Source organism: Homo sapiens, chromosome 7, assembly GCF_000001405.40.
Source record: "Homo sapiens chromosome 7, GRCh38.p14 Primary Assembly".
NCBI lineage: Eukaryota > Metazoa > Chordata > Mammalia > Primates > Hominidae > Homo > Homo sapiens.
The window spans coordinates 91,603,743-91,619,020 of record NC_000007.14 but is presented as its reverse complement, the minus strand read 5'-3'; positions in this window follow the sequence as shown (position 1 = coordinate 91,619,020).

Here is a 15,278-nt window from a genome sequence, read left to right as displayed (position 1 = left end):
CCAGGTAAGTGAACTTGGACAAACACTTAATCTTTCTAAGACTCAGCTTCTTTGTTTGCAAAACGAGGATTTGGAATAAAATCAAATGTTTTCCATCTGCTCTGAAGCTCTTTCTTAGGGGTTTCTGGGAGGGGGCATGGCATATGTGTGTGTGTGTGTGTGTGTGTGTGTGTATGTGTGTGTGTGTGTGTGTGTGTGTGTATGTGTGTGTGTGTGTGTATGTGTGTGTGTGTGTGTGTATGAGACAGAGAGAGAGAGAAGGCTGATTTCTGCTGTACTGTATTTGTATGCAATACTTAATCTTTTCAAAGTTATACATGCTGAATTACCCTTTTGTATCCATTCTTCCCCCTTTCCACTCTTTCACTTGAGTTCACATACACATACATATGCACCCAAAAGGAAAAATTAAAACCAAACTGTTATAAATAGCATTTTTAAAAATCCTAAATAAATTAACAAACAAAACCCAGGAGCATATTTAAAGACTAATATACTATGATCAATTTAAATATAAAAATTAAAAAATTACCTAATTATAATTTATTAATATAGTATAATTTTTTGTACTCTTGTAATAATCTCCAAAGATGCTGAAAGTGAATGCAATAATTTTAATTTTCCTTTTTTTATTTTAAAAACCTCTTAAATAGGAATAGATAGATGGATATTTCCCTATTATGATATATATTTATATATCTCAACCAACAAACCTGCCATATGACTAATGAAGGAGAACTAGAAGCAGTCGCAATAAAGTGATGAACAAGTTGAAAATGTCCAGTTTTACTATTAGTATCTAACATAGGACAGGGGGTATCAATAAACAAATATGAAAAATCAGGTTGGGGGACTTGAGCAGCCTGATGGCAAGTCCTATATAAAGCTATTATAATTAGGAAAGATATAGACATTGGAACGGAATAGAGAATACAGAAGCATCCACAGATACATGGAAATCTGAAAAATGACAAAAGTCACATTACAGATCAACAAAGAATGGATTATTTAATAAATGGTACCTGGTCTGGTTGCCAGACCAAATGCAGGATGTCAGTTAAATTTGATTTGCAGATAAACAACAAATAATTTTTTGGCATAAGTGCGTTCAAAATATTGCAAAGGTGGCTGGGTGCGGTGGCTCACGCCTGTAATCCCAGCACTTTGGGAGGCCGAGGAGGGCGGATCACGAGGTCAGGAGATGGAGACCATCCTGGCTAACACGGTGAAACCCCGTCACTACTAAAAATAAAAAAAAAATTAGCCGGGCGTGGTGGCGGGCCCTGTAGTCCCAGCTACTCTACTCGGGAGGCTGAGGCAGGAGAATGGCGTGAATCCAGGAGGCGGAGATTGCAGTGAGCCGAGATCATGCCACTGCCCTCCAGCCTGGGGGACAGAGTGAAACGCCGTCTCAAAAAAATAAAAAAATAAAGAATAAAAATAAAAAATATTGCAAAGGACGTACTTATACTAAAATATTCATTTTTATCTGAAATTCAAATTAAACTGGGTGTCCTGTGTTTTTATTTGCTAAATCTGGCAACTCTAGTACCAAGCCAATATGTTATTCACATGGACCAAAGTGAAAATGGACTCCTACCTCATTTTCTATACATAAATAAATTTTAAATGAATCAAGGTCTTAAATGGAAAAGGCAAAAACTTAAAATACAAGGAAAAAATTGCATGACCTCAGAATAGGGAATAATTTCCTAAATAAGACTCAGAATGTAACCCATTTTTTGGAGAAGATATATAAATTTGACCACCTTAAAATGACATACTTCTTTTTTCTCAAAAAATACTCCAAAAAAAAAGACAGCTATAAACTGAGAGATGTTTTTGTAAGACATAATCAAAAAGCATTACTATTCAGAATATATGAAAAATTTCTACAAATCAGAAAGATTTCAATGATAAAAGACAACAAAAAAGAAAAATGCAAAAGACAGAAAGAGGCAATTTTTTAAGAGAAAGCACACATGGCCAATAATTGTGAAGATATGCTAAACATCACTAATAATCAGGAAAATGCCAATTAGAGACATCATTTTACAGCATCAGATGGCAAACATTAAAAAATAATTAATCTGATTGTGATATTATTACACAATGTATACATATTTAAATTTTCATGTTCTAGATCTTCAATGTATATAATCTTTATTTGTTAATTAAATATTTTAAAATTTAAGAAAGGAAAACATTGGGCAATATTACATTTTGGCAAGAATGTGCAGCAATGGGAACATAAACACATTTCTGGTGGTTGTGTGCTTTAGTAAAATCATTTTGGAAAACATTTGATTCTACCTGGACAAGTTGAACAAGTGCATATACCCTACTTATAGCAATTCCACTCTCATGTGTATGTATTCCAGAGGAACTCCTGAACATGTTTATCTGGATATGTACACAAGAATGTTCAAGCTAGCCTTATTTGTAACAGGAAAAAAAAAAACAAAAAGAAAATAAATCTAGATATCTACAAAGAGTATGTTGAATACATAAATTGTAATGTATTGTTACAAAAGAATATAGTACAGTGGAGAAAATGGCCAAAATACAACTACTTCCTACAAAATGGGTAAATCTCAAAAGTATAGTGATGGGAATAAATAAGCACATCACATAATGATTTCCATTCCTTTGGATATATACACAGAAGTAGGATTGCTGACATATAGTAGTTCTATTTTTAGTTTTTTGAGTAACCTCCATACTATTTTCCAAAATGGCTGTACTAATTTACATTCCCACCAATAATGTACAAGGGTTCCCTTTTCTCCACATCCTCACTAATATTTGTCATTTGTCTTTTTGATAATAACCATTCTAACAGGCACAAGGTGATATCTCATTGTGGTTTTAATTTGCATTTCTCTGATGATTAGAGATGTTGACCTTTTTTTCATATATCTGTTGGCCATTGATATATTTTCTTTGAGAAATATCTGTTCATATCTTTTTCTCATTGCCAAACAGGTATCTGCATTCCCATGTTTATTTCAGCATAATTCACAGTAGCCAAGATATGGAAGCAACCTAAGTGCCTATCAATACATGAATGTATAAAGAAAATGTGGTATATACACACAAAGGATTATGATACAGCCTTAAAAAAGAAGGACAATCTGTCATTTGCAACAATATGGATGGAACTGGAGGGCATTATGTTAACTGAAATAAGCCACGCACAGAAAGACAAATGCTGTGTTTCACTTACATGTGGAATCTAAAGTCAATTTCATAGAAACAGAGAGTAGAAAGCTGGTTACCAGAAGCTGGGGGGAGGGGAAAGGATAAGGAATGAGAAGATGTTGATTAAAGGGTACAGAGATTCAGTTAGACTGGAGGAATAAGTTTTAGTGATCTATTGAACTGCATGGTGACTACAGTTAATAATAATGTATATTTCAAAATTGCTACAATAGATTTTTCATGTTCTCATTACAAAAAATGATACATTGGTGAGGTGGTAGATATGTTAATTAGCCTGATTGAATCTTCCCATAATGAATATATAGATTAAAACATTACATTGTACCCTATAAACATACACAATTATTTGTTATTTAAAAATGTTTTAAAAAGCAAGACATACAATATATACAGTATAATTCAATTTACATAAAGTTGCAAATCAGACAAAACAAAATTACACACACACATGCATTAAAATGCAAGGATATTAGTATTACTACAAAATTCAAGGCAGTAGTTACTTCTGGAAGGGACACACAAGAGCTACAAATGAATTGGTGGTGTGCTATTTGCTTGGGGAGTACATAGAATTTATTTTATTTTTAAATTATTATTATTATTTAAAATGTACAGGTGTGTTATAATGTGCTTTTGTGTGGGTATAATGTATTTTGAAATAAATGAAAAGAAAGAAAGTGATCAAGTTACTATTTTATTTTCTAGAGAGTGATTGTATTCTTGGAAGATTCCAGAGAATTAAAATACTGAGAGTTCAATGGGGTTGGATAAAAATAGACATGCAAAACATAATTACTTTTATTTACTAATAAATAACCTGTTTAGAAAATACCTTTAAAAAATTTAATCCCTGATAACAATGTAATCATTAATATTCCCAGGAATAAACCTGACAAAGGATGTGTGACATTTATATGAAAAACACCATAAGGGTTCACTAAAGGGTTTAAAGTTCTGAATGTACGTAAAAAAATACTTGTCCACTTCTAATAGGAGTCCTCTCTGAACCCCTTCATTACATCTGTGCCTCATACCTAATGGAGAGGAATGCTGATCCAGTTGGTGCGACTCACATAACTGATTAGGTCACTTTTTCTGAGGGTGGAGCTTTGAAAGAACTGGAAATTTTATATTTGTCTGCACGTGCAGTGAGAACATAAGTGGCCCCAATTCTGTTTTTTTCCATCAAGCTTGGCTGCTTCTCTTTCTTTCACTGGGTCTCTCTCTTCTATCTTAGCTGGTTTTACTTCAGATATTACTTTTAACGACTGGAAAATGTGTTTTCTCTTTCCATGTATCTCTCCAGATCCTCTTTCCGTAGTGCTGATGGGAGTGACATATCATCCCACTGGCATAGCAAGGTTTGGTATTAATATTTGGGATTTATTATCAGTTGGTGGTGGGAAGGGTGGTGCAACAAAGAGCAAGAGGACTGGTGACGTGTGGCATGAGCAGAGCAGATTCTTCTTTGATGCTAGGCCATTCACACTGATGTAGCTTTAAAGAGGATATCCCCACTTTGCCCAGATGAGCTTACCAGAAGTCTGAATATGGTGCAGGGCCAAAGTGTCAGCTAATAATAAAGTATTATTTTTCCTTACTTTGCCTTCTTTGGGAAAAAAGGGTTGATTCTGCCAAGGCAGAATTCAATTCTTTTCCACCAATATCTCATCTTATTTTCTAATGATATGTTCCTGAATAGGAAGATGCAGAGTTATAAAGATTCTCTACAAGTAAAACCGTAAGTTTAATAAAATTTTAGCAATGTTCCCAACCAGTTGTTTTTTATCTTGAAAATCTGATCAAATTGTTTATCTTGAAAAATAAATGTAAAAGAATGCCCAAAAACTATGGAGGAAAAAAGAATAATAGGAGAATTGCATTAAAAATCATAAGCACATACCCTAAATATACTGTAATTAAAATTGTAGTATTGCCTAGAAATAGACAAATAGATCAATGAGTGGAATAAAAGACCTAGAAACTACACATATATAGGGGCATATAGTATAAGATAACAGATGGCATATGAAATTAACGAGAAGTTTAAATAACAAATATCACCGTTACAATTGGATAACAGTTTAGGGAAAAATAGGTTAGGTAACTACCACTGTAGTAAAAAATAAATTCTAAGTAGTTTAAGGATTTAGACATCCATATCATGTAAATTGCAGAAGGAAAAAGAGAGAACATTTTTACAATCTTGAAGCAAGGATCATTTTCCTTAGCATGTTGCCAAGGCCTGAATATATAAAAGGAATGACTTATTAAAAACATACAAATGGAAAAAGAGGCCATAAATAAAGATGAAAGTCAAGAGATAAGCCGGAAAATATATTTATAAAAGGGGTTAATACCCATAATATAGCAAAGAGATTAAAACAAACAACAACAACAACAACAGAAAATTCCAATAGAAAAAAGGGCAAAGCATTACACAGGCAAATCACAGTGTGGGCTAAAGGGGGGAAGGTTAAGCCACAGGTCAAGTGTTTCGTGTGAGCTCCCTGCTCTTCACCAAGTGAGACTTAAGAGGGAAGAAATAAATTATTCCCTTCATCTACTTGACAAATGCTTATTATTTACATTCAAAGTCTTCCAAGACAGTTGACATATTGTCATGACTTTCTTTATAACCTTGATGCTGAGGATTTATCGTTCTCTCTTCCCTAGGTTCCAGGTCTGCTATTACCAAATATCATGTGGACATTCTGTTTTGAATATCTTGTAATCATTTTTAAATGTCCAAAATTCAATTCATCATTCATGGGATCATTTACATGAGTTTTCTATAAGAAAATTAATGTCTCGTGCTGTATTAGTTTTATTTATTGCAGCTGAAAAATTTACCCCCCAAACTCAGTAGCTTAAAACACTCAGCTCCTGTCAGTTTGGAATCTGGATGCAGCTTATGTAGATGCCTCTTCCTCAAGGGAGTTCACTCACAAGGCTGCAATCAATGTGTTGAGCAGAGCTGAAGTCTCATCTGAAGGCTTGACTGGAGGAGAGCACATGATTGCTTCCATATTCACTCATGTGGTTGTTGGTGGAAGTCAGATCCTCGGGGATTGTTGGGCTGAGACTTCCCTCAGTTTTTTGCCATGTGAGCATCTCCATAGGGTAGACAGCAACATTTCAGCTAGCCTCCCTCAGAATAAGTGGGTGAGAGAGTGAGAAAAGGTGCCCGAGATAAAAGCCACAGCACTTAGTAATCTAACGTCAGAAATTAAGTCCTATCATGTTTGCTGTATTCAGTTGGTTAGAAGTGAGCTGCTAGATTCCAGCTGACACTCAAGGGGAAGGATTACACAGGGTATAGATCCTAGGAGGCAGTTCATTGGGGCCATCTTAGAGGCTGCCTACCTCAGATGCTAAGGTATCCAGGAGAACTAGTGATACAGGTGTGATCTGAAGTCCAAGTAGATGGACTAGGCTGGATATTACAAGGCTCTGAGGCATACACTGGAGCAGGGTCAGAGAGAGAGCTCACGGCCAAGGGTGGCAGGAGGGCACTAGTAAAAGTAGAGTACACACAAGTTAAAACTTAGGGTTCAGAGAAGCTATGAGAGAACAGGTGTGTGTAAAGTTCAGACCAACATCTTAAGATTCACAGCTCAGGCAAACAGAACCACAGCACAGCACAGCACAGCTGAGGTTTGACTCTGATTTTTGAACAGATAGGACAGGTTTATGGGCAGCCATTGAATGGTGTGGGCCAAAAGATACAAGCTGTTCTGATGGAAAATTCTGTAGCTGCTATTAATTATCACAGGGAGCTTTGTTCCTCAAGGGAGGGAACTTTCAGAGCTCTGATGTTCTTTATCTTCCTCTTCCTCCTGAACCAAGTTTTTTTTTGTTTGTTTGTTTTGTTTTTTTTTTTCCCAGTGTCACTGATTCTATCAAGGGTGCCTTAATTCTCCCAAACCCTTTGGCTCCTCTTTTCATTTTCCTCTCCCATATTCAATTCCTCTCAAGTAATTATTTAAGGAAAAGTATGAAAGTGGCAGCCAGTAATCTGTGGAATTTGGGCAGATTATGCAATCATTCATTTCAATAAACATTAATTGGGCACCTTGCTACGTATCAGGTGGGACCTGTGCGGTCTAGCCACCGGCCACGTGTGGCAACTGTGGACTTCAAATGTGGCTAATATGACTAAGGAACTGAAGTTCTAATTGTTTTAAATTTAGAAACAGAAGTAGTGTAACATTTTTCTATTAAGACAAATTTATCGTTTTGGTAGGAATACATTTTACTATGACCATTGAAAATTTAGCATCCACATTGAGATATACTATAAATGTAAAACACACATGGATTTTGAAGACTTGGTATGAGAAAATAATTTTTATACTGATTACATGTTGGAATATAAATATTTTGAATATATGGTGTTAAATAAAATATATTATTAAAATAAATTTCACCTGTTTTTACATGTAGACACTAGAAAATTTTAAATTACATATGTAACTTGTATTATATTTCTGTTGGATATGTTAGGTTGGACTATATGACTTCTTTAGTTATATTTTTCCTTAAAATTCATAGATGTTAAAAAGTCTTTGCAGTTTTTAATCTCAAAATATTTGCATAACCTTCCCTATACATGTGTTTTCACAACCACTGACCTCACTGATCTCCAAGATGAAGAAATTTGTGCAACACAAAAAAAATTAGAAGTAAAATCTTTGTTTTATATTTCTGTATACTTCCTAGGAAACTCTCAATTTACAGCTGAACACCAACAGGAATTTCAAGTAAATATTGAGAAGTTGTAATGGTATTTGTCACAGTGTATGAATTGTGGTTCGTGCTTTCTTCTTAAATTGTCAGCAGACTTTAAGAATCATATTCATTGAAATTTGAGCAAATTACCAGTAGATGATGGCCTTGCAACTTTTCCACAGGTAGGACTTTTAGACTAGCTTCATTTTTTTAAGATGGTAAATTTTATGCTGCCAAATACTGAATAACTATATGTTGAGTGATTATAAAATTAAACTTACTCTGCTCTCAGATGCAAATATCATGAGGGTTTTTCATGTGTCCACTAGGAAATCTGTGTCTTATGAACACACACATGCTCCTTTCTTCTTATTTCCCAGCTTGGGCAGGGTCAAGTGGCTGTTCTCTGCTGCCTTGTCCCCACTTTTGTTCTTTGTGAAGATTACTGAGTGTCCATATCCTCCGTCTAGTTCCTGGGCCTTGGTAGTTCGCCCTGAAAGCTCTTTGCAGGTTCCCTTCACCTCTTCCCATGGTAAGGCCCTATCCAGCCTTTCTGGATCTCAGCTCATCCATTTGCCCTCCTCCCCACCCCTCCCTCCCTAGGAGAATGTGGAATCTTCTCTGGGTTGCCCACCTGAGAGCTAGAGAGGTGGCTCTCTCCTTTGGCCAGACTTGTGTGGCCTCTTTACATGGCTAGGCCTGCCCCATGTTGTCATAGAGCACCCTGCTCAGTGGATTCCTCCCAGGGAACAAAACAGGAAGCAGAGCAGGTGCACCTCTGCTTTCAGCCTTCCCGTCCACTCATCTAATATTCCCTCTCTACCATCCTCTAGATCAAATGCTGGAGAAAGGACACTATGACTCATGTGTCCCCCCTCCTTTTTCCTCTCCTGACTTTCTCCTCCTAACTGCCCCTGCCACCAGTCACTCTCCCTGCCCTCTCCCTCTGACTGGATGGATGGGACTTTTGTTTCCTGCACCTTTTCACTCTAGTTTTATGTTCTTTATATCATATATTCCTCCTTCACAATCTCAAGATGATATCTCAGCCTTAAGGCAGATGCAGATGGGAAGAAGATCAACTTACACCTAAGAGTAGTTATATCAATAAAGACTTAAAAATATTGTACATGAACGAGATGTATTTTCATATAATTTTCTAAAGTGTTCTAGAAACAGAAAGGGCCATTTTGAACATTTTTTGAGAGAAGAAAAGATAAGAATTATGTCCAAAATAGGATTAAACAGACTTTTAAATGTCTCTTCAGTATTCTCAGACATGTGGTAGCTTATATAAAAATTGCTCCTCTTGGTCAGTAGTATTTTGTAGCCTCTCCACCACATGAGGTCACAGCTTGCCCAAAGAATCAAAACCTTTCTTTTCAGTTTAGAAAACTAGGTATTCAGCCTTATCTAAATGGGCTGTCTCTGTCCCCTACAGATATAATTATAATAAGATTTCATTATCTGCTTTTCCTAAGTTAAAACTAAAATCACAGGTCAAATATATGTCTATTTCTCCTTTATTCTTTGTTCCCAGAGCTTTTCTTTTTTTGTGAAAAGGATTCTGGGGCAGAGATGAGATGCACATGATGGTTTATGATTTAGGCTCTGATCTCCCCTATCAGATTCTATTTTCTCTGATCCTCTCCTAGTTTATAAACACACATAAACATGTCTGTCTGAGTTTGGCTGGAATATTTTACTCAAAAAGGAAGTTAATTTTATCCTTTGGTATCTACTAAAAATATCATACTTTACAAAAAAACTTTCTTGTTTCTCATAACATTGAAATTTATTTTAAACGAACAGATTTTTATTGATAAAATCAGCTAAGCACCAGTATTACAAATTGAAATGGGGCAATAGCTAATATTCGAACAGTATCTAGAATCTGATATACTGAAAAGTGCTCCAGATTGGGGATCAGGAGAAAAGGGTTGTAGTGCAGACCTGCTATCATCACATATGTATCTGTGAACAGCTCATTTCATTTTGCTGGGCTTCAAATTACTCCCTCTATAAAATATGAAGTTACAGTAACTTTTCTTCTAAGGTCTATATTTTGATAAAAATCTGTGATTCTAATATATAGAGAAGGAAAGTGACCAAATCTACTGAAAAAATAGACAAGGCAACATTTCCATCAGCAACTCCCACTTCTAACTATGCCCTTATAGGTTTTCTGCCAAACCAACAAGGGATATGGACTGTCTGGCAGAGTCACTAGGACAAAGGATTAAAGGAAGAAAAAAGGATCCAGATGTTTCCATTGGGGTAATTGAATTTTCAGACACATCTAATTTAGATGAGCTGTATCCATGGACAAGTGAGCCGAAGACATAAAAGTGAATCTTAAAATTCAACTGGGTTTTCATGATACCACTTCCCATTTAGCACTCTAATCGGTATTATCCCCTCACATGTCTGTGATGACATGGTAGGAGTCAAGGGGAAGGACACCCTTAATCAAAAAGCAAATTAAAATCTCCATGCCCCCAGTGGTTTCACAGCAGAATTTGTTGCATGCTCACTGAGTACAGAGTACTGTTTTAAGTGAGATGAGGAAGGGATACAAAAGTAAGACTAATGGTACTGCAAAAAGTTCTCAATCTAGTTGAAGAAAATGTGTACAATAACAATAAACTTCATGACCTACTTCTAAAAAATCACATAAATGGCAAATGTCTTTATCTGTGTATTGAATGTTTCCCTTAATTCTTTGAGGTTAGGCTATCATAAAAATTTGATTAATTAAACCAAGAAAAGAGGTTTAATTAACAATGCATAATTAACAACCCCAAACTCATATCATACTTAGAAAGTTTGATCTTCATCTACCAAGTCTGTTAAATTCTGTGGTAAATTTTAGGCCTAGGAAATAAATAAGGAACCAGAGCCAGTAATAAATAGGATGAGAATATAATTTATCATCTGAAACTTTTGAGAGTGAAAGGCGGCACTTTTAATAATTACACAGTTATGGTAATTATTATGGCAAGCTTAAACTGAGCCTGCTTTGAGTAAACTGGAATATATGGATGCCCTTTTGATAAATAAAATAGACTTGACATCATTGGAATAAGTTTTATCTAGGATCAGAATGCTGAGGCAAGCAGTAAAATGGAGTTCCAGAACCTGCCTGGCCGAATGCTTCTGCCAAGCATATTTCCAGCCTGGAAAATCTGAGATGACCTTTGTCACTTACCTTCCCTTCTATTCATTTTAAAAATAAGCCTTTATTTATTGTTTATTGAACACCTATTTGAAGGAATGGAGTGAATACAAAAGTTAAAGGTACACTCCTGTTAAGGAGTTGGTTGCTGGTGTGGACAGATGGGACTTGCATGTAACTGACAATTCTTAGGTATGTCATCAGGCACTATGGGATAAATTGCCAAATAAATTGTATAATGAGTTGAAAGGTAGGTAGAGGGAGAAATCACATTAGGATGGCAAAGGAGGTAAGGCTTTAGGAAAAGATGTGGGATTGAAGTGGGTCTTGAGAGATAAGGTGGAAATTTACAGAGTCAGTGGCACATTATGCTTTCCATCTTCTTTTCCAATTAGCAAATAACAAGCTATTAAATACAACAAACAAACAACAGCAACAACAACAAGGATAACAAAAACCCTTGCAATTTTTGTGGCACTCAAAATGTTATGAGCTCTACTATGTAGATAGTTTTATAAATAATGAAGAGAAGGATAAATTCCTCTGTAGAAAAATGGACTAAGGACATGAAAAGGCAATTAATATAAGAAGAAATGTGAAAGGCCAGTCTACATTTGAAAATGTATTCACTTATTAGTATGAAAGAGGTAAAAAAAACTTGACTAACTGGTGGGAGTAGGTAGAGAGAATGGTCACTCTCAGGACTTTTAGTAGAAAAGGGTACATTGGGATAATGTTTTTGAGTCAGTTTAGCCATATGTATTGATAGGTATATATTCTTTGGTTCAGGAATACTACTTTTAGAAATTTGTGATAAGGATATAATTATATAATTGTACAAAGATGTTTGTACAAATGTGTTTAACATAGCACCATTTATATTAATGTGAAAAATTATAATCAACTAGTAGTACATTGATAGGATATTTGCTTAATAAATTTTGGTACAAATGGTAGAGCACGTAGTAGAGCTCATGACTGTATGAGGTGATGGATATATTCATTAGCTTGACTGTGGTAATCATTTGACAGTGTATACATATATCAAAACACCATATTGTACCCTATGTACAATTTTTATTTGTCAATTATACCTCAATAAAGTTAAAAATAAATGTTGGCACATTCATACAATAGAGTAATGCGTAGTCACTGAGAAGGTTAATGTGCAAAATATTCATTAAGATATTTTAAGTGAAAAAAATCAGACTGAAAATAACATGTGAAATAAAGATCACGTTTATGTCTCAGGATTTTTGTCCAAATATTAACAATAATTATCTCTAAGTGGTAATTGTAGCAGCAGCACTAGTAGTCTTTTTTTTTGAAGGGGGGATTTAGGTGTGTTTTTATTTTATTTTTATAGTTTATATTGTTTGAATTTTACTCAATGAGCATGTGTTGTCTTTATTACTAGATTATGCTATTAAAACAAAAGTATTTTGAGGAAAACGGTCTTGCTGATTTGATAAGCAATGTCCATATAATAGGCACAGAAACACATTTTCAAGGTTGTTCATTCTAGAAATCCTCAACAAACTATTGGTATTCCCTTAAGTCATGATTTAACACAAAGAATTCTGAGAAGATTTATGTCTCTAGATGTCTGTCTTGATCCAGGGATCTACTTTTGGCTGTCTAGATGTGTGAACATTTAATCCATTTCATCCAATATTGTTTCTCTAACTGAAATTTTGGATAAAAGATTGAATTGCAGTGAACTGGAGATTGTATTTCGTGACAGCTCCCTGCAGCGCATCTCAGTCTATATAGGAGGGATCTTTAAAAAGTTTATGGAAAATGCATATTATTATAAAAAACTATGTATGGATTTCAGACTTTTTTGCACCAAAATAAACGTGTCCTAACTTGTTATAACATGTCTGAACAGGACCTAGTTTGAAGGATTAAGACATATAAGACATCAGTTTGAAAAGAACCCCATCAGAACAACATGAATTCTGCTAAAATTGAAGCAAGAACAAACATAAAATTTATGGTGAAGCTTGGGTGGAAGAATAGTAAATCACTGATGCTTAACAAAAAGTTTATGGGTACAATGTCCCAGAGAAATCAGTAGTTTACCAACGAATAATTCATTTTAAGAAGGGATGAGACAACGTTGAAGATGAAGTCTGCAGTGGCAAAACATATCAATTTGTGAGGAAAAAATTAATCTTTTCCGTACCCTCATTGAAAACAATGGTTAACGGCAGAAACAATAGCTAACACCACAGACATCTCAACTGGTTCTGTTTCCACAATTCTGACTAAAAAATTAAAATTGAGCAAACTTTCCATTTGATAGGTGTCAAAACTATTGTGCCTAGATAACCTGAAGACAAGAGCAGAGCTTTCAATGGAAATTTTAAACAAGTGGAATCAAGATCCTGAAGTATTTATTTAAAGGACTGTAACAGAAGATGAAGCATGGCTTTACCAGGATGATCTTGAAGACAAAGTACAATCAAAGCAATGGCTACCAAGAGAGGGAAATGGTCCAAAGTAAAAGCAGACTGGTCAAGAGCAAAGGTCATGTAAAGTTTTTTGGGATGCTCAAGGCATTTTCTAGTTTACTTTCTGGAGGGTCAAATAATGATAACATCTGCTTATTTTGAGAGTGTTTGGAGAAAGTTAGCCAAAGCTTTAGCAGAAAAACACCCAGGAAAGCTTCACTGGAGTGCTTCTGTACCACAAAAATGCTCCTACTCTTTCCCCTCACCAAACAAAGGCAATTTTGTGAGCATTTCCATGGGAGATTAATAGGCATCCACCTTATGGTACTAATTTGGCTCCTTCTTCCTTCTTTTTGTTTTCTCATCTTAAAAAATCTCTAAAGGGCACCCATTTTTGTTTCAGCTAATAATATAAAAAAGACTGCATTGATGTGTTTAAATTTCAAGGATCCTCAGATCTCTAAGGGTGGACTAACTGGCTGGCATCATTGCTTACAAAAGTATCTTGACCTTCATGGAGCTTATTTTGAGAAATAAAATTTATATTTTTATCTTTATCTTTTAATTCCATTTTTCCATGAACTTTTTGAAGTCCCTTTATATAGTTTGTTGTCTAAGAAGCCTTATGTCTTAGTTATCAATCCTAAGGATAGGATTAATGTTCTTTTGTTGAAGCTAAGGACTATTACTGTCAGGAGAACATGGCTAGGTAGAAGGCCATCCTACCTCCTCCCTTAAATAAGGACTCCTTAGCAAGGCTGAGCTTTTCTGCAGAAAAGAGTTCTGGATCTTATTCAGGGTATCAATAAATTTACAGTCAAGGTACTACTGTTTCAATCATGTAACATCATAAAAATAGCTTTGGTTTAAAATGTTCTAAGGCAGTTATAAACATGGTCACCTTGGCCAAACCACTGTAAACTCTTAGTTAAGTATACATATAAAATGAAAGGTTCACAATGAGCAATGCTAATTCTGTATTTATCCTCCCAAATACATTGTATGGCTAGATAACTAAATGTATAGATGGGTTATATGGTATAGTTATTTGTGAAACAGAAGAAAAAATCTCCAAAGAAGAATAATTATATTTTAGAATAATGAATATGTCTGCAATCCTATTTTCTGGTGATAATTACCTACAGAAGTCAGTAATCTGCAAACTTATTCCTAATTTAAGATAGTAAAATACGTTGTTTGCATTTTTAAAGCAGTTTTACCTGGTCTTTGTAGCTGGAGTTACAATCTGGTTGGGCCAATTCTGTACAAATAGAGTAACTCAGTTAAAACAAAATAAAACTGTTTAAAAAATTAAAATCTAAGGCCTGTGGTACAACACAAATTTTAGGAAAATCTCAAATGACAATGAATTTTAGAAAAATATCACACCCACCTACCCACACACACACCAGATTATCAAGTTCTATTTACTCTAAAGCTGCAGAAAAAGGATCTCCAGGTGGTAAAGCCTGAGCATGCGTATTTTTAAAGCACCAAGGCAATTCTGATAGGCAGCCAGGTTGAGAACCATTGTCCCAGCAGGCAAGCCATCTGGCCTCACTTGGTGTCCTTGGCAAATAAAAGGTGAGCCCTCCATTGCAGGACTTGTAAACTAATAAGCAGTTGAAAATAGTATTGGGTTTGGAACCAAATAACACTCGGAACAAGCTGCTCAAAAAAACTCCAAGGTTGAG